We start from the raw sequence: 20,508 nt of genomic DNA, 5'->3' as shown, positions 1-20,508 counted from the left end.
AACAGAAATAGAGGCCTGTGTTCACTTGTGATTTTAATTACCCTGCCTCCTACGGTGATGACTGTCTTCTAGCTGGGAAAGAGCGGAAGCAGTTGGGGCGGGTAGTGACATGGGGCTTTGTGACTACCTAATTCTTAGGGATCAGATTCCAGGCCTTTCCCAGTGAAGGGAGAGAATAGCTGCTAATAACAAGAGCTAACGTGTATAATTCACAGAGCGCAAAGGAACTTTACATTATTTCCTGTAACTGTCCTGTGAGGTAGGTAGCTGACAATATGCAAGGGTTGTAGTTTCTTTTTCTTTTTTTTTCTTTTTTTTTTTCAGACAAGGTCTGGCTCTGTTGCCCAGGCTGGAGTGTAGTGGTGCAGTCTCAGCTCAACCTCTGTCTCCCAGGCTCAAGCCATCCTCCCACCTTAGCCTCCTGAGTAGCTGGGACTATAGGTGTGCACCACCACGCCCGGCTAATTTTCGTGGTGGGTTTTTTTTTTTTTTTTTGTAGAGGTAGGGTTTCGCCACATTGCCGAGGCTGTTCTCAAACTCCTGACCTCCAGCGGTCGTCCCGCCTTGGTCTCCCAAAGTGGTGGGATTGCAGGCATGCATCACCATGCCTGCCCTAGGGCTGTGGTTCAAATGCCTCAAACCTGCAGGACAAGGCACAGACTACTCAGAACAGACACTGGCCTGGCCCATTGGCCCATTCCTGGCTGTGTTATCAGTCTGGTGGTGGTATCCCTGATTTCTAACGGGAAGCATAGGGATTTACAGATTTCACTAACTTGACTGTGATCACACATTTTAAGTGGTAGAGGCAGAGTTTTGAACCCAGTGGGTGTCACTTTTTTTTTTTAATTTAAAATTTTTTTGGTAGAACTGGGTCAGGAAAATGTTTTAAATTTTATTTATTTGAGAGCTGGGGTTCTTGCTATGTTGCTAAGGCTGGAGTGCAGTGGCTGGCTGTACAAAGGCTCAATCGTGCTATAGTTTTTTTTTTTCTTTGAGACGGGAGTCTCGCTCTGTCGCCCAGGATGGAGTACAGTGGTGCGATCTTGGCTCCACTGCAAGCTCCGCCTCCCGGGTTAACGCCATTTTCCTGCCTCAGCCTCCTGAGTAGCTGGGACTACAGGCACCCGCCACCGCGCTAGGCTAATTTTTTGTATTTTTAGTAGAGACGGGGTTTCACCGTGGTCTCGATCTCCTGACCTCGTGATCCGCCCACCTCGGCCTCCCAAAGCGCTGGGATTACAGGCGTGAGCCACCAATCGTGCTACAGTTTTGAAGTCCTGGCCTCAAGTGATCCTCCCACCTCAGCCCCCTTAGTAGGTGGGATTATAGGTGCATGCCATCACGCCTCACTTGGGTGTGACTTTTTTTTTTTTTTTTGAGACAGTTTCACTCTTGTTGCCCAGGCTGGAGTGCAATGGTGTGATCTCGGCTCACCACAACCTCCACCTCCTGAGTTCTGGTTCAAGCAGTTCTCCTGCCTCAGCCTCCTGAGTAGCTGGGATTACAGGCACGTGCACCATGCCCAGCTAATTTTTGTATTTTCAGTAGAGACGGGGTTTTATCATGTTGGCCAGGCTGGTCTCGAACTCCTGACCTCATGATTTGCCCACCTTGGCCTCCCAAAGTGTTTGGATTACAGGCGTGAGCCACCACGCCCAGTGGGTGTCACTTTGAAGCCTGTGTCCACACCCTGCTGCCTCCTAGAAGGTAGAGTAGTTGTAATTGTCAGCTAATATCCTGCTCAGGCCAAAGGTTACTATTTTTTCCCCTTTGAGCTTAATTTTTATTAATATCCTTTTCAGATTTTCTTGCTCTTCTGTCTTTTCCGAAGATCATTTAAGATCTTCCTGTAAATTTAACAGCTCAGGTGAAACTGGAAACCTCTAGATTGAGTCACATTTTGAGGCATATGCAGAAACGGTTGACTGCCTTTGGTCCCCAGCTTATGATTTTCTGTGTGGTTTTTTCATTCTGTTTCTTAGTCCAGGCACAGAAGAGGGCTCTTGGCTTGGATGGGGAAACCAGGTACATACAATGGGCTGGTAGTTGGGAGGGGATAGGGCTGTCATCTGCAGCTGAGCACTTTGACCTGCAGTTGGAGTGGGCAGAAAAGAGTTGTGGTTTAGAATCCATATGGGTGGAGATGGGCTGATGCTTGCTCAGACTGCTCCCTGGCTGCTCATCTTGAGCTGGGTCCAAACTTGATAACCTTTCTTCTGAGCCTCCTGAGCTCTTGTTAGCTAGGATCTGAAAATGCTAGGTGCAGCTGGTGCATTGACATGTTCCTGTAGTCTTGGCTACTTGGGTGGGGGGATGGCTGAGGCCAGGAGTTGGAGGCCTTAGTAGTGCTTGCCATGATTGCAACTGAAAGTGCTAGATGCAGGCTTGGGGCGTGCCTTTTAGCTTGTTGCTGGGGCCTCACTGAAGCTGTCAGACTCTTCCCAAATTCTGTTTCAAATCACACCTCCTTCTGTGGTTGTGGGACCTTCACCACCTTCCTGGTGTTTGCTTACCGTAACCTCCTGTGGCTGAAGCCTCAGGCAGGAGGGACCAAGTTGGAAGAGTAGTTTAGGTTTTAGAGGGCTGCTTGAAAGGCTCAGGAGGGAAGCCCAACTGTGAAGTGGGTCGGGGGTTCTGGGTGGGCCATGGGCAGCAGCGGGCCTGGCAGCCCACATGGACTAGGTGGTCTGCGCTGGGGCAGAGACCCCTACCTCAGCCTTCCTCTGCCTGCAGGAAGAGTGAGTCATCTGCACATCCTGCCTCCAGCCCTCGCCACGCGGTGCAGAGTAAGGGTGGCCAGGTTGTTGTTTGAAGCAGTGCTTGCACTTGGGCTAGGGCCAGTACCCACAAGCAGGAGGAGGAGCCTCAAGACGAGAGGGTTGTGGCCCCAGGAAGGCTGGGCCGTTGGCCTCTAGATGGGGGTGGGATGCAAGGGCTTCTCTGCTGTGGTGGGTAGGGGAGAGGTTAACAGTGGAAGTTTCTAACGGCAGATGTGAGGCAGGAAAGGGGAAGCACATCTGGAGTTCTTTCTGTCCCCCGCCCTGCCCCAGGGAGGCCTGAGTCACTGCAGCAAGGGCTCTTGCCCTTCCCATCCCCGCTGGGCTCTCCATGGCTTGCTGGATCCTTCCTTTTCCTTGCTTTTGCTGTGGGCAGCCAATCAGAGCCTGCGCCTGTGGATGTCTGTGGTTGCTGGGCAGTTTTCTCTTGGTGCTAGGGAGTCTCATGCCACCCAAACACCACATAGAGCTGGCGACCCGACTCCATGGTCCAGCACATGGCACAGAGACTGGGGTGAGGAGCAGAAAGGGAAGGGGGTGTTTGAATGGATCAGGGGCTGAGGGCAGGGCATGATCTTAGAAAACTAGGGTAGAATGAGGGAAGGGGGAGGCTCTTTTATCCACTTACTGGGCAAAATCTCAGAACCTCCACAGAGGGAGGGTGAGAGAAACTGGAGAAGGGGTCGGGGCTCAGGGCTGCAGTTGACTCAGATAAAATCTTTACAGAGCCTGGAGTGTGAATGGGAGGGGCTGAGAGAGACTTGGTTAGTTTGTAGATAAACCAGTAGATACTGGTTATAAGCAGCTATTTATCTTAGCTTTTTTGGCACTTCTGCTTAAGTCACTTATTAAAAAGTTAAAAACCTTTAAAGTTCTTCCAAGAAAGACTTATATTGTTTCCTTTTTTTCGTGCCCTGCTTTGAGCTGGAGCTGGACAGCTGCTGCTCTCACTGGGTCGGACCCATCCCACCAGCTGCCCACATGCCCCAAATGTGCCACTTCCCCTTTTGAAAGGTGGGGGAAGCCTAGAATGTTGAAGGGAGGGGAATGAAGTGCTTTGGAGGCTCCACCCAGTCATTTCTGAAATTAATACTGTGGTTTTCATGGCAACGGGCACTCTTTGTTGTCAACTCAGAACTTTCCCTCCACACATCAAATGGATTTTTCTGGGTGCTGTAGCTTCCCCAGCTCCTCCAACCAGTGTACCTATAGGGCACTGCAGGGCACTGACTTTCCCCACTTGCTGTGTTCCTGTGTTTTTGTTTTTTTTTTTCGAGACAGAGTCTCTCTTTGTTGGCCAGGCTGGAGGGGCAGTGGCATGATCTCGGCTCACTGCAGCCTCTGTCTCCCGGGCTCAGGCAATTCTCCCACCTCAGCCTCCCAAGTAGCTGGGATTACAGGTGTGTGCCACCATGCCTGTTAATTTTTTTTTGTATTTTTAGCAGAGATGGGGTTTCACCATGTTAGCCAGGCTGGACTCGAACTCCTGACCTCAGGTAATCCACCCGCCTTGGCCTCCCAAAGTGCTGGGATTACAGGCGTGAGCCACCGTGCCTGGCCTGCTCCTGTATGTTTGAATGTGATTCTGGGGTTCCCACCCCGTTCTCTTCCTCTAGTGCTGTGGAGCTCACATTGGTGCTCCTGAAAGGTTACAGAAACTGCCACCTGTTCCTGTCTGTTTGCTCCAGTCAGGCTGGCATGGCTCCCAGAGCAGGCTGTTGTTTTACTCCAGGGGAATTACTGGGGTGTCCCAGTGCCTCAGCACCCAAGGGATGGGTGGAGTAGGGTATGGTGGGGGGTGCTGGAGGGCAGCACTGCCATCAGTTGCATCTCCCATTAGAGGGAGAATACCTTGGGCTGGTGGTACTGGCTCAGTGGTGATGTCCTGGCGACCCCGTCTCAATGTTCCTGGGCTCTCTTCACTCCCCTAGGCCCCTCCCTTCTCCACCCCTCTTTGTTTTCTTGATTTCCTCAGGATTTTGAGGCAAGCCTATTGAATGGGCGATGTGCAGATCATTGGGGCAGATGGTCAGTTAGGGTTTGGGGCTATTTCTGATAGGATCTCCCATGGAATGTGCCTCCACTCCCAGCTGCCCCCTCCCCTCTGCAGCAGGAACAGCTGTCATGTGAAGGCCTCTCTGCTGGCTCAGCCCTTTTGCAATCATCTGGCGGGCTCTGCTGGGATGGGGTGGATGGTGAAGATGGGCAGAGCCAAGGGGTGAAGGAGGGAATGTGGTAGGGCAGGGGGAGCTGTCAGAGGGTAAGGAGGGCTCTAGAGTTCAGGGCTGAGGGAAGAAGGGCTGCCAAGGTCAGGCAGGAGGGGTGGAAGCTGCTGAGCAGGCCAGGGAGGTGGAATGATGAGCTTACGGTACCCATCCTGGGAGACTTTCAAGGTGGAAGGATAGTTGGTTATAGCGGGAACCCAGGCAGTCATCCTTCAGGGAGATCCGCATTTCCCCTGACTCACAGGGGACCCAAGGGGTGCTTTCCGGCTCTTCTTCCATGTGGGACCTGAGTCACCAAGATGCCTAGGGTGTTGGCTGCCCTATGGTGGCAGGTCCTGTGCCCAGCCCTGCCCTACCCTACCCACTCTTACTGTTAGGACAGGGGTTAGCAAACACGCCCCTTTTATCCCACTCTTCAATAGTAATTACCCATCTCTTTGACTCAGACATACAGAATGTACCTCTTGCAGGGACTGCCAGAGACCGTCTCTAATAACCCGTTATTTTACCAGTGGGGAAACTGGAGCCCAGAGAGTTGAAGTGACTTATCAAGGGTGCATCCGAGCTTTTCCACAATCCTTGCAGTCACTCACTGAGTCACTTCTGCTCCAAAGCTGAGCAGGAGGATGCTGCCCTCAAATGCTGAGGGATAAGGGTGGTGGACACAGCATACCAAGTGTGGAGGGGCAGGGAGAGCGAGGCATCTAAAGGCTTCCTGCACCCGTAGCTTGGTAAGGGTAGCTTGGTAAGGAGCGTGGAAGTGGAGCCAGCCCTGGGGCCAGGGTCAGATGTAGCGATCCAAGTCCTGGGGCGGGCACAGGGCACGGAGTGTAACAGAGGCGGGACTTCGAGTGACAGGAACCTCAACTATGTGGTGACTCAGGCTCTGGGCAGCCTAGGCCCTTCCTTCCCTGCTCAGCCTGATCTCCTTCAACTGGACTTAGGGAACTGTAAGCAGAGGAGAGAGGGAAACCCAGGCTGGTCTCTCTTTCCCCAGGAAGCTGGGGGAAAGGCAGAGGAAGTTGGAAAGGACAGGAGAAAAGCAGATTCCAAGAAAGGGGTGAGGAGGTGGTGTTCCCCGCTTCCTCAGCCCCTCCCTCCCTGCTCCCCACTGGGGAGGGGAGCTGGCTGGGGCGTTGGCTGCTCCGTTTACTCCAACTCCCTCCCTCGGCTCCTGTTTACAACTCAGCCCGCCCAGTCCTTAGCTCAGTGCTGAGCTCTTCTGTTTTCTCTCTCTCCCTCCCTCCTTCCTTCACAGCCTCATGTCTTGTCGCTTCTTTTCCTTAATCTCAGGTCTGCATCTCCTCTTATTGCCCCACAGCATTCCCACACCCCTAACTCTGCCTGAAATCCAGCCATGACCCATCGTGTCCACCTGCCCCACTCTCCCTGCCCAATTTCTTTCCCTTCCACCTGCCTGGACAGTCTTTCTTTGCCTTCTTTCCTCCCAGACGGTACTCTGGAGACAGCCTCATGTCTCTTGTTCTCTAACCAGCTTTAACTTGGGTTCTGGTTGGGCTTGAAGATTTCATTAGGACTGAGTGTAATTGGAGAGTTTCTGTGTATCAAAGCTCTCTGATCTAAGAAATTCAGGAACTCCTTATTTGAAGCTTGAAGTTTAAATACAGGCTGGGATTTGAATTGAGCTGGGGAAGGATGATTTTACTTGGCTTTATATTTTCGGCTAGGGTTAAGGGTTTGGGGCTTGAGAATTGCTTAGGAAATAATGTTTGGATTCCAGAATCACCAGATAGATTTGCTTTTGGGGGGTGGGGTGGACAATGACAGATTAGGAAGTGACGGAAGTGAATGGAGAAGGGCCTGTTTGGCAGGGATGCTAATCCCTGGGCTGGTGTGTGTATGGGGTGGAGGCGGGGTCTGGGAGATCCCAGATGGTGCTAAGAAGGGTTAACAGTCATTTCTTTGCTGCTGCTGCTGCTTTTTTTTTTTTTTTTTTTGAGACAGAGTTTTGCTCTTCTTGCCCATGCTGGAGTGCAATGGCGCAATCTCGGCTCACTGTAACCTCCGCCTCTCAGGTTCAAGCAATTCTTCTGCCTCAGCCTCCCGAGTAGCTGGGATTACAGGCGTGCACCACCACGTCCGGCTAATTTTGTATTTTTTGTAGAGACGGGGTTTCACCAGGTTGGTCAGGCTGGTCTCGAGCTGCTGACCTCAAGTGATCCACCCGCCTTGGCCTCCCAAAGTGCTGGGATTACAGGCGTGAGCCACCAGGCACAGCCCATTTTTCTGCTTCTAAGAATATCATGCAAAAGAACCTTCATGGGGGGAAAAGTCTGCTTCTAAAGAGACTGCAAACAGACCACACACTTCATTTGCCTTCTGGGATCAGAAACTGAGATTACCCTTTGAGCAGTCAACCTCTTTTCTTCCTTGTAACATGCTGATTTCAGAAAAGGGGACTGTGGAGAGAAGGGAGGGGAAGGGGAATCCCCTGGCCAGGGGCCTGCCCACAGAGCTCCCCTTTGTGGTTACTATGGAAACAGGCATAATAGGAACAAAATAGAGGCAGGTTGCCTGGCAACAGAAGAGCCCAAGGTTCATTACAGACGCGCGCACACACACACAAACTGACATATACACACACACGCAAAACAGGTACATATCAGGGAACCTCCCCCACTCCCCAGGGAGGCAGTGTCACTTCTGGGGAAGCTGGGGTATCCCTGTGATGACAAGTCCTAGAGCTCATCCAGCTTTGGCAGTGCGTGTGGAGCACTGTGGTACCAGCTCCCTCTGAATGGTGGTGGAGCACTAGCGGCAGGGCTGACCTCCCTCTTATAAGAGGAAAGCCTTTACTTTATATCACAGAGGAGTCTAAACCTTCGAGAAGATGGAGGTTTTCTTTGCAAAGTAGGGACCGAAAGAACTCCTTAATACTCCTTATAAAACATGGTGTGTAAAAACAAACAAAAAACAGGCCAGGTGTGGTGGCTCACGCTTGTAATCCCAGCACTTTGGGAGGCTGAGGCAAGCGGATCATGAGGTCAGGAGTTCGAGACCAGCCTGGCTAGCATGGTGAAACTCCGTCTCTACTAAAAATACAAAAATTAGCCAGGCGTGGTGGCGCGTGCCTATAATCCCAGCTACTTGGGAGGCTGAGGCAGGAGAATCGTTTGAACCCAGGAGGCAGAGGTTGCAGTGAGCCAAGATGAGCCAAGATCGTGTCACTGCACTCCAGCCTGGGCGACAGAGCTAGACTCCATCTCAAAACAACCACCACCACCACCACCACAACAACAAAACAACAAAAACACCCAAAACATAGTGTGTCGGGGGGGTGCTGGCGGGGGAGTAGCTGTGTAAATTACCTGGTAGGAAAGATAACTCCAATTCTCTGGAGGCATAGGACCTCCAAGGAATTCAAAGGACAAGGTAAAGGGGTATCGGAGCCGTTTCCGCCTGGACTGAGCTTTTTGCTGGGATTCCATCTTGCCAAGGTCTCTATTGCTTCCACCACCACCACAGTTCCCCAACCCCATATTGGACACACAATAAATGTTTGGGTAGCTGCAAGAAAGACCCACAAGTAGAGGAATTGCTCCCTGGGGGCTGAGAGCCAGAGGAAGTTGTGACAGCCTGGGATGCAGGATGCTATCTATTGTAGAAAAGGCAAGGGCTTTGGAGCCAGTTATACCTGGAGTTCATTCATTCATTTGAAACATGCTCTTGAGTGATTGCTATGTGTCAGTCAGTGCTCTAGGCATGAGGGGCCAGGGTGCGGTGGCTCACACCTATAATCCCAGCACTTTGGGAGGCTGAGGTGGGAGGATTGCTCAAGCCCAGGAGTTCAAGACCAGCCTGGGCAACATAGTGAGACCCTATCTCTACCAAAAAAAAAAAAAAAAATTAGCTGAGCATGATGGTGTGTGTCTGTAGTCCCAGCTACTTGGGAGACTAAGGTGGGAGGATCACTTGAGCTTGAGAGGTTGAGGCTGCAGTGAGCCATGAATGCTCCACTGCACTCCATCCTGGGCGACAGAGTGAGACTGTCTCAAAAAAAAACAAGCAAAAAACCAAAACAAAACAAAAAATCAGTTAATCTAGGCACAAAGCATACAGCAGAGAAGAAAGAACCCTGTCCTCATGAGGCTTAAATGCTAGCGGAAGCTTTGACTCTTGCCTCTGTGAGTTGTGTGATTTTAGGTAAATCACGAACCCTTTCTGAGACCATTCCTCACTAAGTGCCTCCCTCCCAGGGTGTGCAAGGATTAAATGAGCTGACAGATGAAAGTAGCTCCTGACAAAGTGGCTCACACCTGTAATCCCAGCGCTTTGGGAGGCTGAAGTGGGCAGGGATCACCTGAGGTCAGGAGTTCGAGACCACCCTGGCCAACATGGTGAAACCCCATCTCTACTAAAAAATACAAAAATTAGCCAGGCATGGTGGCACACGACTGTAGTCCAGCTACTTGGGAGACTGAGGAAGGATAATCACTTGAACCCAGAGGTGGAGACTGCAGTGAGCCAAGATCACGCCACTGCAGTCCAGGCTTGGCAACAGAGCGAGACTCCCTCTCAAAAAACAAAACAAAACAAAACAAAACAAAACAAAAAAAAAACCAACGAAAGTAGCTGCTGCAGGATCAGACACAATCATATTAAGGTAGTTTTGGGAGGGGGTGTGGGGGAGGCTACACCAGCGGGCAGAAGGAGAAGAGTTGGCAGAAGTTTCTAAAAGTGTGCGTTTCTCCACTTAACACCACTGAAAACTTTTGAAAATATTCCCCTCCCTTGGGCTGAGGTGGCAGTCTTAGGAAACCCCAGCTCTGTTCCAGCCTGCAGGATCATTTTTTTTTTTTTTAGACAGAGTCTCGCTCTGTTGTCAGACTGGAGTGCAGTGGCACGATCTCAGCTTGCTGCAACCTCCACCTCCTGGGTTCAAGCGATTCTCCTGCCTCAGCCTCCCGAGTAGCTGGGACTACAGGCGCACACCACCATGCCCGGCTAATTTTTGTATTTTGAGTAGATACGGGGTTTCATCATGTTGCCCAGGCTGGTCTTGAACTCCTGACCTCAGGTGATCCGCCTGCCTCGGCCTCCCAAAGTGCTAATTTTTATATTTTTAGGAAAGACGGGGTTTCACCATGTTGGCCAGGATGGTCTCGATCTCTTGACCTCATGATCTGCCCCCGCTCAGCCTCCCAAAGTGCTGAGATTACAAGCGTGAGCCACCGCCCCCGGTCAGGATCATGGTTTTTTAGAGGGTAGGGTTGAGGTTAAGCCTTCTCTAGCCCTCCAGTCTGGAATGGGACAAGAGCCAGTCCTCAGAACTACCCCCCGACCAGGTAATCTTGACATTCATATCCCTGAATGAAGTACCTGGTCAGTGATCTCTGCTCTGGGGCTGCTTCAAAAACCAACCTCTCCCTCCTGCCTTCTTCCCTGTTGACCAAGAGGGTGGCCAGAACAAACAATGGAGCAGATAAGTTGGCTCTGAGCCTGGGACTCTGGCCTCTGCTGTTTGGATCCTGGGGGGCCGATCTAGCCCAGTCGAGGCGAAGACACAGCGTCCACGCCTTTCCGTGCTCTTCTTCCTTTTCTGCTCTAGCAGCCCCCCACGCCCCCTTAGCCCTTTTTGCAGATACCCTGTGTTTCCAACCTAGGTGTGAATCAACTCCTGTTTTAATATGCACTGGGAACATTCGCTCTTTCAAGGAACGAGATGATGATTCATTCCATAAAGTTAAAAATCCTTTGGTAAACTGTTAACAATGGTTACTTTTGGGAAGAGGGACTGTGATAGGGGAGGAGGGAGAAGTCTGTGTTTTATTGTACTTTTTTTTTTTTGAGATGGAGTCTCGCTCTGTCACCCAGGCTGGACTGCAGTGGCACGATCTTGGCTCACTGCAACCTCTGCCTCCCAAGTTTAAGGGATTCTCCTGCCTTAGCTTCCCGAGCAGCTGGGATTACAGGCTGCGCCACCATGCCCTGCTAATTTTTGTATTTTTAGTCGAGGCGGGGTTTCACTATGTTGGCCAGGCTGGTCTCGAACTCCTGAGCTCAAGTGATCCACCTGCCTTGGCTTCCCAAAGTGCTGGAATTACAGGTGTGAGGCATCGCGCCTGGCCTTGGTAATTTTTTTTTAAGTGTTCTATAGCTCAAAAGTTTTAGATTTGTTTTTTCTTTAAATAAGGTAGGTGCTAGGAAAGGGGTGCAGAACAAAATGGGGGAGCAGGTGATTCTTGGGAAAGTGTGAGTCTGTGACTGTGTGCTTGGGATGTGTTGTGGCGAGGCTGCCTCTGCCATGGGGTTGAGTCATTATCTGGGCACCTGTGTGTGTGTATTAGAGAGAGCAAGAGAAAATGCTGGTGCCCAAGTCTCCGCTTTGTGTTTTCACATGTCTCTGCCTGTCTGGATGTCTGCACATGCGGCTCCACCTTTCTGTGTCCATTATATGAGTGCCCATGTCTGTGGTTCCTCTGGCTGTCTCTTCCCTCCCCCACGGCCTGTACTCTGTGCCGGTAACTGGACCTGGACACAGCCCCCAGGGCTGGCAGCAGAGTTGACTGCTGGGTATTTTTAGCCTGTAAACATGTTTGCCATTTCAGAGGACAGGGCCGAGCTGGTCTCAGCTCCAGCCCACTCATGATCTTGCAGCAAGGAGGGCGCTCCTGCCTTGGCCAGGTCTCCTTAGTTCCCCAGCCTGGGGTCTCTCTTTCCTTAGCATTTGGGAAGGAGGGGAAACTGGCTTGGAGCGGGCAGTGGGTGGCCACCTAGGAGGGAGGATAAAAGGACTCATGAGGGAGAAGAGAAAGGGAGTGTGGAGGGGAGTGTGTAGCCAGAAGGCCCCCGCACCCCATCATTAAACGTTTAATAAAATCTCGATGTAGTTAGAAGTGGCTGTGGGAAATCGCTGTAAATTAGGAGACTCAGCGTCCCGCAAGTGGGGAGGCGGGGGCGGCGCTCAGAGAAGGAATGGGAGGCAGAGGAAGCGCTGGGGCTCTGGCTCCTGGGGGCGGGAGTCTGGAGAGGAAGGTGGGCGTCGGGTCCGCTGTCCAACGCCCGGGGTCCTCACCCCCGTATGCCCGCGGCCTGCGCAGCACCGCGGTGCGCGAGGCACTGGTGACCCCGGCTCCTGGGGGGTGGAAATCCAAGCCAGTTCTGTGCGGATATGGACGGAGGGGCCCCCAGAAAGAGAGAACGCGAGAAATGGGCGCGGCAGCACGGAGCTTGGGAACCAAGCAAGGAGGCTGGGGCCTGGGATCTGAAGTGTAGTTGCCTAAGCTGAGAGAAAACTCAAAGGTCCGGAGCAAGCTGACGGTCGCGGCTGAATCACCCAGCCACCTTCAGAGCCCCCAGGCCCTTCCTGCAAAATAAGTTGATTCGCAGTTCCAGCTGTGAGGGTGAGCCCAGGGAGCCTGCAGGAGTTTCTTGCCAATGAAGCCACACAGTGCACATGTTGGAGAGCAGGTCCAGGTCCGGGACAGGACAGGGGGCAGTGGATGCGGGGAGGGGGGGAAAGAATGTCCCCGCGTCCCCCAGCGGCCCCCCTCCCCAGCAGCCCACTCCCGGGTCCCTCCAGGGTCTGCCCCGCTCGCCAGTCCCAGCCCCGCTCCGGCCCCGCCCGGCCCCGCCCTCTCCCCACAGCTCCGGGCAGACCCGCCCGCCCGAGCCGGAGTTACAAGAGCCGCCTCCGCGCACGGGGGCCCGGCCACTCGGAGCTGCTCTGCCGCGGGGACTGCACCGCCCGCCCTGCCAGACCCGCCCGGAACGGGGCTCGTCGCCGCCAGTAGCCGCAGCACCGCAGCCTTGGGCCTCGCGCCGGCTATGGCCGTGCCCTGGGGCTGAGCCCTCAGGTAGGGGCGCCAGGCGCACCGTGGCGCCATCGGGGTCCGGGGCACCAAGGGCGGGTCGCGGGGAGGTGGGTTGCGGTGCTCCGGCAGGGCGCGTTGTTGGGGGTGTCACTGTGAGGATTCAAGCAGTTTGGAGCAAGCGGGGCCACCCGGGGCGGCGACGCGTCGCTCTCTGGGAGCGGAGTTCTGCCTCTGGAGTTGGGGCGCAAGTTGGTTAAAGTTGGAAAATCGCTCCGAAGTGCTTTGCTCCACTCTTTATTTCTCCGGAGGGCGGACTGTTGGCTCCACTGCAAGGCAGGGCGCCCCGTTCCGGGCCTGGTGGCCTCTGTCCCACCTCCTCTCCCTGCATGGGGCGGTGGCTCGGGGGCTGCTCCGTTCGTATCCCATGTTTACTGGAGGGGAAATTTCCGAGATCGCCACCGCGGCCCCCAGCGCCTCCGCGCCTCCGCGACCCCGCACCGTGCGCCCCCTCGGCTGTCCTTCCGCGCTCCCTGCACCTCTGCCCCTAACCGCGTCCCGAGTCGTCCAGGCCCCACCCTGTTCTGTACCACCAGCCCCTCAGCCTCCTCCAGCTGCCCCGCCCTAGCCTTGCCTCTCCGCGTTCCCCGCTCCAGAAAACCTTCCTCTCGGGCCGCGGAACCTGGAAGTTTGCAATGCGCCTCCCAGCGGGATGGGTGGGGAGGGGGACAAAATTAGGGAGATTCCTATGCTGAGGTGGGCGAGGAGGGGGGTGCGCTGCGGCGGCCCAGTCCTCGGGACCGCCCCTTCCCCTCCGGAGGCGGCGCTTTCCCCCCGCCCAACTCCCAAACCCGTCCGGGCGGGATGGCCCCCGCCCCAGAGCCTGGCCCGGCGCCAGCAGCCTGAGGAATGTGGTGGTTGGAGCCGGTGACTAATTCAAACCAGAACTCAGGGAGGAGTGGTGAGGGGCAAAGGGGAGGAGGAAGGGGCTGTGTGTGGGAGTTGGGGGCAGGAGCCGGGCTTGGCGTGGGAGGAGGGCTAAGCTGCGCTCGCTGGAACCCTGCGCTCCAGCGGTGCGCGCCAGGAGAGGGGGCCCGAAGCGAGGTCTCGCCTAGAGTTGGAAAGGCAGCGTGCTTAGGGTGTGTGCAGAGCTGTGTTATGTAAGGCTTTCCCATGCAAGGGGAGGGGGTGTGTGTGTGCAGTGTGCGAGGGCCTGGGCCGTCCCTGGCAGGGCTGGTCGCCCCCCAGCAGTGCCCAGGCCGGGATGTGGGGGCGCAGCCCCTTGGCGGCGCTGACCATGAGGGACTCCAGGGGCCCAAACAGGGCTGGCTGTGCCCCTTGCTGGGAGGGGTGCGGAGGGGGCAGATGGGTGTTCTCAGCTGTAGCCGAGGCCCCACAACAAGGTGGGGAACGGCTCTGGCCCCTCTGCACAATGAGGCCACTGAGGGTTGTGTGCGATGTGTGTGCTTGCCGGTTTCGCAGGGTGTGGCTCCCGCCGCGGCGACCGTGGCAGTGAGGTGCTCCCAGGGAGCGTGCGGTCGCTGCAGAGTGCCCTGCTCTGTGGAGGGGATTTGTGGAAAGGCAGTGTGGGAGCCTCCCAAGTCAGTCAGGTCCTTAGACCTCCGGAGTCTCCGGAGGAAAAGGGACCGAGATATCTACCTCTGTGTCTCCAGCACAGCGCTGGGCGCTCAGTAAATACTGGTTTCGAACCCGTCTTCATTAGAATCCAACCTCGGATTGCAGGGCTCCTGCTCTCTGCTTGCCCGTCCCAGCACAGCCTAGTGCATGGTAGGTGTTGGGTTGATTTTGTGGAATACAGTGAGGGGCTGCAGCAGTGAAGCTGAGAGTGGGGGAAGGCGTTTAAGGGCCCCTGCACCTATACTGGCTGTAATTCAGGGTAGAGATCTCGCTTTCATCCCCTCCCCGTGAGGGAAATCCCAGGGGCAGGGTGTGGCACTCACTTCCTTTCAGAAGCTGAATGGGGGGAAGCTTCCTTCTCCAGTCCTTAGGGACAGCGGGGTCACCCACCCCCCACCGCGTGGATAGTGGCCTGTGCAGAATGGGGAGGACAGGGGAGCCCCCAAGTTAGGGGCACCTCTTTGCTCTGAGCTGTGAGCTTTGGGGTGAGGGAGGGTGGGAGAGGAGCTAGGGAGGGTAAGAGTGGAGCTAGGAGAGGTCGCAGGGTTTGGGGGCTGTGGGAATGTGGGTTAGAGGGTGTCTGAGCCCCTCTCTAAAGCCTTTGTCCCTAAGAGGTTATGCACAGGGACACTGGTCAGAGAACAGGGACACATGGGGAGCCACATAAGTCATGCGGGCTGATATGGAGGCCCACAGCAGCGATTCAGGGGTCCTGGTCCGGGAACTCCTTGAGGAGCCAACCCCTCGGAGCTGAGGACTTGTGGCAGCCAGACATGGTCCAGGGCCAGGGGTGGGACACAGGGACCTGTTGAGGGAGAAGGTCCAGCGTCAGCCCAGGGTACGGAGTTGGCTGGGGGTCCCCGGAGTCATCTTAGCCCTCAGGAAGTCCTGGGGAAAGGTGGCGGTGCTGCCAGGCTGGATTCTTTTGCTCGACTTGGAATTGGCTGGTGGGTCCTGGCAGAGCCGGTCACCCTGAGCCTGAGGAGCTGGTTTGAGGGGTTGGGGCAAAGCCGTGGGGGCGGAGGGGTGTGTGGGGCTCTGGGGTGTGGTCACCACCTTCTTTAGAACTTGGGAACTGCCTGGAGACAGACAGAGAGACAGACCGGGAGAGCTAGTCCTACTCCTTATGGGAACAGTGTGGCTCTCTCCCCCACCATTCCCGAGGCCCCAAAGTTTCTCTCCCCGGAGCTGGGCTGGCACCGTGCTGTGCACGCTTAGGTTTGAGGAAGGGTGATGGCCGCTGGGGAGGATTTAGAATGTGCTGCTTGGGCGGTGGCAGTGGCAGGGATGGAGGGCCTTCTGACTTCTCTTCGTCCCCCATCGATTCATCCAGGCTGGCATTTCCCTGGGCTCAGGCCATCCGGTGGGACTCCCAAGGCTTCCTGAGCACGAGCAATTTCCAGCGTTCCTGGGTGTGCCCGAGGGAGTGTGGGGGGCACGTGGGTGGGCCACAAGAGGATTCCGAAGGAATGAAGCCCCTTTTCCTCCCTGCTGGCCTCAGTTCCCACCAGGGCTGTGGCTGAGCTGTCGCTGGCAGTCTTAGGTAGGTCACTGATAGCATTGCAGGTGTCGTCCCACTGTGGCTTTAGGTCCTTGTGACCACCATGTCACAGCTTGTCTCTGAGTGAGATGTGTGTCATTGCCTGTGAGAGAGTATCCCACTGGTTGTGAATGAAGGTCTTCCCCTTGTGGCGTGCCTGGATGTGTCACCTCTGCCTGCGTTGTCATCGGGCTTGGAGGCAGAGGATGGCAGTGGCATTCTGCTCTGGTGGTGGAGGTTTCCTGCGGGCCCGTAGGGGTTGTAGGTAAGGACTGAAGTGAGTTTCTCGGTCCTGGACATGTCCGCACGCGCAGTTTGTGTCCAGAAGCCTTTGGGAGGTTGAGGACAGCCTTGGGGGTGCAGGCCCCAGCTGAGCAGGCTAAGCAAGGCACTGCACACGGCCTGTCAGGGAGGGGCATCCTGCCCGGTCCCCCGGGGGCTGGAGCGGAGGTTCTGGGGGAAGGGGAAGTGCCTGGAGCTGATCCCGTCTACAGCTACGTGTCCTGGCGGGGCTCGGGGGTAGCTCTTCAGCGACAGAGCCGGAGCGGCCTGGCCCCACGCCCCTGCAGTAGCGTGGTCCGACCGCTGGGGGGAGAGCAAGCAGCGCCCTCCCCAGATCCCGGCCTTGGGTGGGGCAGACAGGCAGCTTCCAAACTGTAATCTACCCCACAGGGCAAGACCAAGCGTTCTGCTCCACCCCCTCTCCTATAGGACGCCACCCTCAGAGTTGGTGTCTTAATCCCAGTGGTTCTGGGTAAAGGCCCACTCTTCCCTGCTTCTGTGTCCAGGTGTGGGGACTCCCCACTGGATCATAGGCTGTCCCCAGCCCCCTTTCACAAGGATTGCAGAGTCCCTCCTGGCCAGGGAGGGAAGAGGGAATCTCCCTCGCTGCTGGAAGTGAGAGCTTGGAGCTTCAGGGCTTCCAAGCTCACTGTAGCATGGGATGGGGCTGTGCGTGGCTGGGGTAGAGAGAGATGGAGAAAGGCGTCACAGCAGAGTCAGAAAGCAACCAGCTGGCTGAGGTTGGGGTGTAAGGGCTGCCCTGGAAGTCAGCATGATGTGAGGGGCCAGGGGAAGGGGGTGATGGGGAGGGGAGGGCTGGAATGACAAGGATGGAAAAACTTCCTCCTGGTGGGAGTTGTGGCTGGGCTGGCGCCTCCCTCTCCTAAGGGCAGGGAGCAGGGAGGAGGCCAGGCAGGTGCACACACACAAGGGGAGGTGCAGGCTCAAGGGACACAGGTGCCAGGTAAACAGGCATAGGGACCTGCAGGACAACTGTCTATTGTGAGCCGGTGAAGGCTGGCTGGGGCTGCAGGCTGCCCTGGGCTGTGTAGAGTGGAGAATGGGGCTGAGGGTCTCCGTGTACTAATGGTGTGTATGTGTGTGTGTGTGCTTGTGTGCCTTTCTTTGAAGGTGCCCAAGTTGCATGTGTTTTGCAACATGTTCATCTAATTCTTCCTGGTAATTCCACCTCCCTAACCTGCCCCTCCTCCCTGCACACTGCCCAGAATCAGCTAGGTGGGTTTGTAAAAGTTGTTAATGCCAGCTTAGACTCTGAGATGTCTGCGCACTTCTGCTCCGGTTAGAATGTGGCATAATGTTTTTTCCTAAACAAGCCTGGCAGCTGCATCCTCGGGGGTCCATTCAGAGGGCCAGGCCCTGGAAGGGATGTCACCCTTGTTCCTTTGGAACAAGGGCCTTGGGGGTCAGAGACTCCTGGGCTTGCATTTCAACTCTGTCTCACACTTGGGCAAGTCATCTTATCTCTTGGGCCTGCTTTCACTTCTCTGAAATAAGGATATTAATTCTTTTGACATAGCATCATCATTTGGGAGTTGAATGAGACCCCAGGCATGGGATGTTGCCAACACAGTCCCTGGCACATCAGAGCGCTCTGCAGAATTCTCTTTCTACTTGTGTGTGGGGTTTTTTTTTCTTTCAACATGGAACTTTCTGTTCCTCTTTGCCTCCTGTTGAGTGTTTATGAGAGCAGACCATACTGTCTTCTGGGTGTGTCTCTCTGAATAGCCTCCCTCTCCTCCTGGTTCCGAATGTTGGGGGCTTCCCCTCTGGTAGGGGTCTCTAACTCTGGGCATGAGTCATTTTGTTCCTGGGATGAGGACTGCTTCTCTTTGGCCTTGTGTGTGTGGTGGGTCGATTGGCCTATGTGCGTGCTGCCATGCTGGGCGGAAGTTTCACTGTGGCCGGTACCCTCCCTACCACGGATGGGGTGATTTTCTTCCCCTCGGAGGGTTGCCTCCTGTGTCCCGCCTGTGCTGGGTGGATGCACAGTCATGGGCCCCTGTGGTGTGTATCTTGTCCTCAGGTTTGGTGCATTTGGGCACTGAGGCCTGTGGCCTGTCTCTGGGGGAGTGTGTGTTTCAATTCCTGTCATCTCCACACTGACGCTGGCTGCAGGGCTGTCTCTAGCTGCTGCAGCAGTTGGCCCGGTTTCCATCCTGGCTGTCTTTATACTGGCTCCTCCGGGGAAGGGGCACTGTTCTCCGAGGGCAGTGGAGGAAGGAGGCTCCTCTGGAGGTCACCCCTGGCAGAGGCCATCTGCTGGGGTCAAGAATCTGCTTCCTGGAGTTCTGCGTCTACTTGGCGTTGTCCCCAGTTGCAGGGTATGGGCAGAGCCCTGCTGCTCGGCACATCCTCTTTGCAGTTTTGAAGTGACAGGATGGGCTGTTCTCTTGCTGCTTCTGGCCTGAATTACAGTCTGTCCCGCAGCGTCAGGCATACGTGCTCTCACCTTTGCAGCTGGAGCGGCCTCGCCATCTCATTCTTTTCTGCCCTCCAAGCAGTCTTCTGCCTTAGGGGGTCTCCACTCTGGCCCTGCTCCTTCTTTTTTTATTTAAAAAAAATACATTTTTATTTTTTATAGAGATAGGGTTTTGCCATGTTGCCCAGGCTGGTCTCAAACTCCTGGGTTCAAGCGATCAGTGTGTCTTGGCCTCCCAAAGTTCTGGGATTACAGGCATGAGCCACCACGCCTAGCTCTGTCCCGCTTCTTGCTATCACGAGGGAGGCTGTTGGGTGGACCACCGGGCTGTGTGCTAGCAGGCTCTGGGACTAGGGTCCCAGCACACTCCCATTCTCTCACCTCTCTGGACCTTACTTTCTCCATCCTTAAGTAACAGGCAGTGCCATCCCATAAAACTCTCGGCAGTGGGGGAAGTGTTCTGTGTCCACGCTAATATAGTAGCCAGTAGCTACATGTGGCTGTTGAGCTCTTGAAATGTGGCTAGTGCAGCCAAAGCTAAAATTTTAATTTAACTGAATTTTAATTGATTAAGTTTAAATAGCCACATGTGGCTGCTGCGTTGGGTGGCACAACTCTAGGTCTCTCCTAGCTCTGAAGGCTTATGGCACTTGGCTGAATCGTGCAGAATTCCCCAAAGCTCCAAAGACCTTCTTTTGGCTAGCAACAGGGCAGAGCCCTCAGCCTCCAGGGAAAGCCTGACTTAACCTAACTTGTGTGGGAGGAGAAGAAAGGACCACTTGGGCTTGATACAGGCTCCAGAGGTGGAGGAGAGACTGAGGGCTGGGACCCAAATGCAGAGAATGGGAAACCTGGCTACACAGTATCCCACGCCCCTCCTTCAGTATTCCCTTCAGTATTTCCATGCCCTTCCGCGGAACTGAATGGCCCAGGTCAGATGAGAGGGGAGTCCTTCCAGGCTGTGCCAGGACAGCAGGGCCACAGCCAGAGCAGGCAGGGTGGTTGGCAGCCCCACCTGGCCGGGAAGCCACTGGGTGCCCTGCCAGGGCCAACCTGCAGCTTCGGGTCCAATGGCTCCCGTCCTCACGGGCTATTGGATCGGTGTCTACTTAGGATGGTTTCTCCCCTCCTCAGGAACCACGTAGGTTGCATCTGTCCTGGGCCTCAAAAGGGACTTCTGCCCTGGGACTCTGCCTGAGGCCCTGGCAGGGAAGCCAACTGCCTGTCTGCAGGGCAGCCCTGGTTCCTCTGGCACCTGGGGGTCTGGCCCAGGAGGCACTTTGTCCTTGGGGTTTTAGGCTCAACCCTTTGCAGGTCTGGAGCTGTTGCAGCCAGCTGCAGTGACTCACTGGGGCGGGAGGGTGGGGCCGAGGTGTGGGCGAGGGTGAGCTGGCCCAGCTAGCTCTTTCCCCCTCGCTGGCTGCTGGCACAGCACCAGGATGCTGGGGTGAGCAAAGGGGCCCTGCTCCAGGAGGAGGACAGGGGTGTCTGGGCGATCTGAAGGAGTGGCTTCAGTTCTGTCTGAGAGATGAAGTCTGGAATCTGTTTTCCTTCCCTGCCTCTGCCTGGCTGCTTTTCTGCAGGGCTGGCTCCTGAGCACTGGACAGTGGGAGAGAATGTGCCATTTAAGCCCCAGCTTTGCTGTTTCTTGCTGGGAAGGGTCAGAGTGATTTCCTGTCGCAGCCTTCTCTGCAGCCGGAAGGGAGGAGGTGTTTTCGCCAGTTTGCACCTGAGCCCAGAGGCTCAGAGTCTTTGCTCACCTTGTAGCCAGCACCTGTGTTGACAAGGAGACACATTGTCCACACCGCGTTGTCAAACAGGAGGATGGCTG

At 55.2% G+C, this 20,508-nt stretch overlaps 1 protein-coding gene across 10 annotated transcripts in view, besides 23 other annotated features; it reads left to right on the top strand.

Moving 5' to 3' along the window:
- Positions 1,120-1,635: an enhancer, noted in NCBI's record as "H3K4me1 hESC enhancer chr11:62325319-62325834 (GRCh37/hg19 assembly coordinates)". NCBI's record gives its function as "activates a minimal SCP1, AML or CMV promoter by ChIP-STARR-seq in primed H9 embryonic stem cells {active_cell/tissue: H9 hESC(primed)}" and the evidence as "EXISTENCE:reporter gene assay evidence [ECO:0000049][PMID:30033119]".
- Positions 1,868-2,671: an enhancer, noted in NCBI's record as "H3K27ac-H3K4me1 hESC enhancer chr11:62324283-62325086 (GRCh37/hg19 assembly coordinates)". NCBI's record gives its function as "activates a minimal SCP1, AML or CMV promoter by ChIP-STARR-seq in primed H9 embryonic stem cells {active_cell/tissue: H9 hESC(primed)}" and the evidence as "EXISTENCE:reporter gene assay evidence [ECO:0000049][PMID:30033119]".
- Positions 2,450-2,609: an enhancer, noted in NCBI's record as "active region_4823". NCBI's record gives its function as "activates an Ori minimal core promoter by ATAC-STARR-seq in GM12878 lymphoblastoid cells {active_cell/tissue: GM12878}" and the evidence as "EXISTENCE:reporter gene assay evidence [ECO:0000049][PMID:35858748]".
- Positions 2,640-2,779: an enhancer, noted in NCBI's record as "active region_4822". NCBI's record gives its function as "activates an Ori minimal core promoter by ATAC-STARR-seq in GM12878 lymphoblastoid cells {active_cell/tissue: GM12878}" and the evidence as "EXISTENCE:reporter gene assay evidence [ECO:0000049][PMID:35858748]".
- Positions 2,640-3,477: a biological region, named in NCBI's record as "H3K27ac-H3K4me1 hESC enhancer GRCh37_chr11:62323477-62324282".
- Positions 2,672-3,477: an enhancer, noted in NCBI's record as "H3K27ac-H3K4me1 hESC enhancer chr11:62323477-62324282 (GRCh37/hg19 assembly coordinates)". NCBI's record gives its function as "activates a minimal SCP1, AML or CMV promoter by ChIP-STARR-seq in naive and primed H9 embryonic stem cells {active_cell/tissue: H9 hESC(naive and primed)}" and the evidence as "EXISTENCE:reporter gene assay evidence [ECO:0000049][PMID:30033119]".
- Positions 3,110-3,169: an enhancer, noted in NCBI's record as "active region_4821". NCBI's record gives its function as "activates an Ori minimal core promoter by ATAC-STARR-seq in GM12878 lymphoblastoid cells {active_cell/tissue: GM12878}" and the evidence as "EXISTENCE:reporter gene assay evidence [ECO:0000049][PMID:35858748]".
- Positions 3,180-3,269: an enhancer, noted in NCBI's record as "active region_4820". NCBI's record gives its function as "activates an Ori minimal core promoter by ATAC-STARR-seq in GM12878 lymphoblastoid cells {active_cell/tissue: GM12878}" and the evidence as "EXISTENCE:reporter gene assay evidence [ECO:0000049][PMID:35858748]".
- Positions 5,772-5,821: a silencer, noted in NCBI's record as "silent region_3416". NCBI's record gives its function as "represses an Ori minimal core promoter by ATAC-STARR-seq in GM12878 lymphoblastoid cells {active_cell/tissue: GM12878}" and the evidence as "EXISTENCE:reporter gene assay evidence [ECO:0000049][PMID:35858748]".
- Positions 6,700-7,505: an enhancer, noted in NCBI's record as "H3K27ac-H3K4me1 hESC enhancer chr11:62319449-62320254 (GRCh37/hg19 assembly coordinates)". NCBI's record gives its function as "activates a minimal SCP1, AML or CMV promoter by ChIP-STARR-seq in primed H9 embryonic stem cells {active_cell/tissue: H9 hESC(primed)}" and the evidence as "EXISTENCE:reporter gene assay evidence [ECO:0000049][PMID:30033119]".
- Positions 7,506-8,311: an enhancer, noted in NCBI's record as "H3K27ac-H3K4me1 hESC enhancer chr11:62318643-62319448 (GRCh37/hg19 assembly coordinates)". NCBI's record gives its function as "activates a minimal SCP1, AML or CMV promoter by ChIP-STARR-seq in primed H9 embryonic stem cells {active_cell/tissue: H9 hESC(primed)}" and the evidence as "EXISTENCE:reporter gene assay evidence [ECO:0000049][PMID:30033119]".
- Positions 12,039-12,569: an enhancer, noted in NCBI's record as "H3K27ac-H3K4me1 hESC enhancer chr11:62314385-62314915 (GRCh37/hg19 assembly coordinates)". NCBI's record gives its function as "activates a minimal SCP1, AML or CMV promoter by ChIP-STARR-seq in primed H9 embryonic stem cells {active_cell/tissue: H9 hESC(primed)}" and the evidence as "EXISTENCE:reporter gene assay evidence [ECO:0000049][PMID:30033119]".
- Positions 12,525-12,694: a silencer, noted in NCBI's record as "silent region_3415". NCBI's record gives its function as "represses an Ori minimal core promoter by ATAC-STARR-seq in GM12878 lymphoblastoid cells {active_cell/tissue: GM12878}" and the evidence as "EXISTENCE:reporter gene assay evidence [ECO:0000049][PMID:35858748]".
- Positions 12,676-20,508, top strand: part of AHNAK (AHNAK nucleoprotein) — a 113,263-nt gene continuing 105,430 nt past the window's right edge. For 3 of the 10 annotated variants that reach the window (NM_024060.4, XM_017018270.2, NM_001620.3), the window contains exon 1: positions 12,676-12,822. The gene's annotated coding sequence lies outside the window, so the exon portion shown is untranslated. Of the gene's footprint in view, positions 12,823-13,655; positions 13,739-13,817; positions 13,938-14,450; positions 14,566-20,508 lie in introns of those variants that run through there. The other 7 variants (XM_047427577.1, XM_047427575.1, XM_047427576.1 and 4 more) reach the window with 7 other exon arrangements.
- Positions 12,815-12,884: a silencer, noted in NCBI's record as "silent region_3414". NCBI's record gives its function as "represses an Ori minimal core promoter by ATAC-STARR-seq in GM12878 lymphoblastoid cells {active_cell/tissue: GM12878}" and the evidence as "EXISTENCE:reporter gene assay evidence [ECO:0000049][PMID:35858748]".
- Positions 13,148-13,658: an enhancer, noted in NCBI's record as "H3K27ac-H3K4me1 hESC enhancer chr11:62313296-62313806 (GRCh37/hg19 assembly coordinates)". NCBI's record gives its function as "activates a minimal SCP1, AML or CMV promoter by ChIP-STARR-seq in naive H9 embryonic stem cells {active_cell/tissue: H9 hESC(naive)}" and the evidence as "EXISTENCE:reporter gene assay evidence [ECO:0000049][PMID:30033119]".
- Positions 13,165-13,214: a silencer, noted in NCBI's record as "silent region_3413". NCBI's record gives its function as "represses an Ori minimal core promoter by ATAC-STARR-seq in GM12878 lymphoblastoid cells {active_cell/tissue: GM12878}" and the evidence as "EXISTENCE:reporter gene assay evidence [ECO:0000049][PMID:35858748]".
- Positions 13,225-13,344: a silencer, noted in NCBI's record as "silent region_3412". NCBI's record gives its function as "represses an Ori minimal core promoter by ATAC-STARR-seq in GM12878 lymphoblastoid cells {active_cell/tissue: GM12878}" and the evidence as "EXISTENCE:reporter gene assay evidence [ECO:0000049][PMID:35858748]".
- Positions 13,659-14,169: an enhancer, noted in NCBI's record as "H3K27ac-H3K4me1 hESC enhancer chr11:62312785-62313295 (GRCh37/hg19 assembly coordinates)". NCBI's record gives its function as "activates a minimal SCP1, AML or CMV promoter by ChIP-STARR-seq in naive H9 embryonic stem cells {active_cell/tissue: H9 hESC(naive)}" and the evidence as "EXISTENCE:reporter gene assay evidence [ECO:0000049][PMID:30033119]".
- Positions 13,875-14,004: a silencer, noted in NCBI's record as "silent region_3411". NCBI's record gives its function as "represses an Ori minimal core promoter by ATAC-STARR-seq in GM12878 lymphoblastoid cells {active_cell/tissue: GM12878}" and the evidence as "EXISTENCE:reporter gene assay evidence [ECO:0000049][PMID:35858748]".
- Positions 16,673-16,802: an enhancer, noted in NCBI's record as "active region_4819". NCBI's record gives its function as "activates an Ori minimal core promoter by ATAC-STARR-seq in GM12878 lymphoblastoid cells {active_cell/tissue: GM12878}" and the evidence as "EXISTENCE:reporter gene assay evidence [ECO:0000049][PMID:35858748]".
- Positions 18,313-18,572: an enhancer, noted in NCBI's record as "active region_4818". NCBI's record gives its function as "activates an Ori minimal core promoter by ATAC-STARR-seq in GM12878 lymphoblastoid cells {active_cell/tissue: GM12878}" and the evidence as "EXISTENCE:reporter gene assay evidence [ECO:0000049][PMID:35858748]".
- Positions 19,177-19,777: an enhancer, noted in NCBI's record as "H3K4me1 hESC enhancer chr11:62307177-62307777 (GRCh37/hg19 assembly coordinates)". NCBI's record gives its function as "activates a minimal SCP1, AML or CMV promoter by ChIP-STARR-seq in naive H9 embryonic stem cells {active_cell/tissue: H9 hESC(naive)}" and the evidence as "EXISTENCE:reporter gene assay evidence [ECO:0000049][PMID:30033119]".
- Positions 19,778-20,380: an enhancer, noted in NCBI's record as "H3K4me1 hESC enhancer chr11:62306574-62307176 (GRCh37/hg19 assembly coordinates)". NCBI's record gives its function as "activates a minimal SCP1, AML or CMV promoter by ChIP-STARR-seq in naive H9 embryonic stem cells {active_cell/tissue: H9 hESC(naive)}" and the evidence as "EXISTENCE:reporter gene assay evidence [ECO:0000049][PMID:30033119]".

This window comes from Homo sapiens, chromosome 11, assembly GCF_000001405.40.
Source record: "Homo sapiens chromosome 11, GRCh38.p14 Primary Assembly".
Classification (NCBI taxonomy): Eukaryota; Metazoa; Chordata; class Mammalia; order Primates; family Hominidae; genus Homo; species Homo sapiens.
Note: the sequence above shows the minus strand (reverse complement) of the source record. Positions and strands in the feature narration are given on the sequence as shown.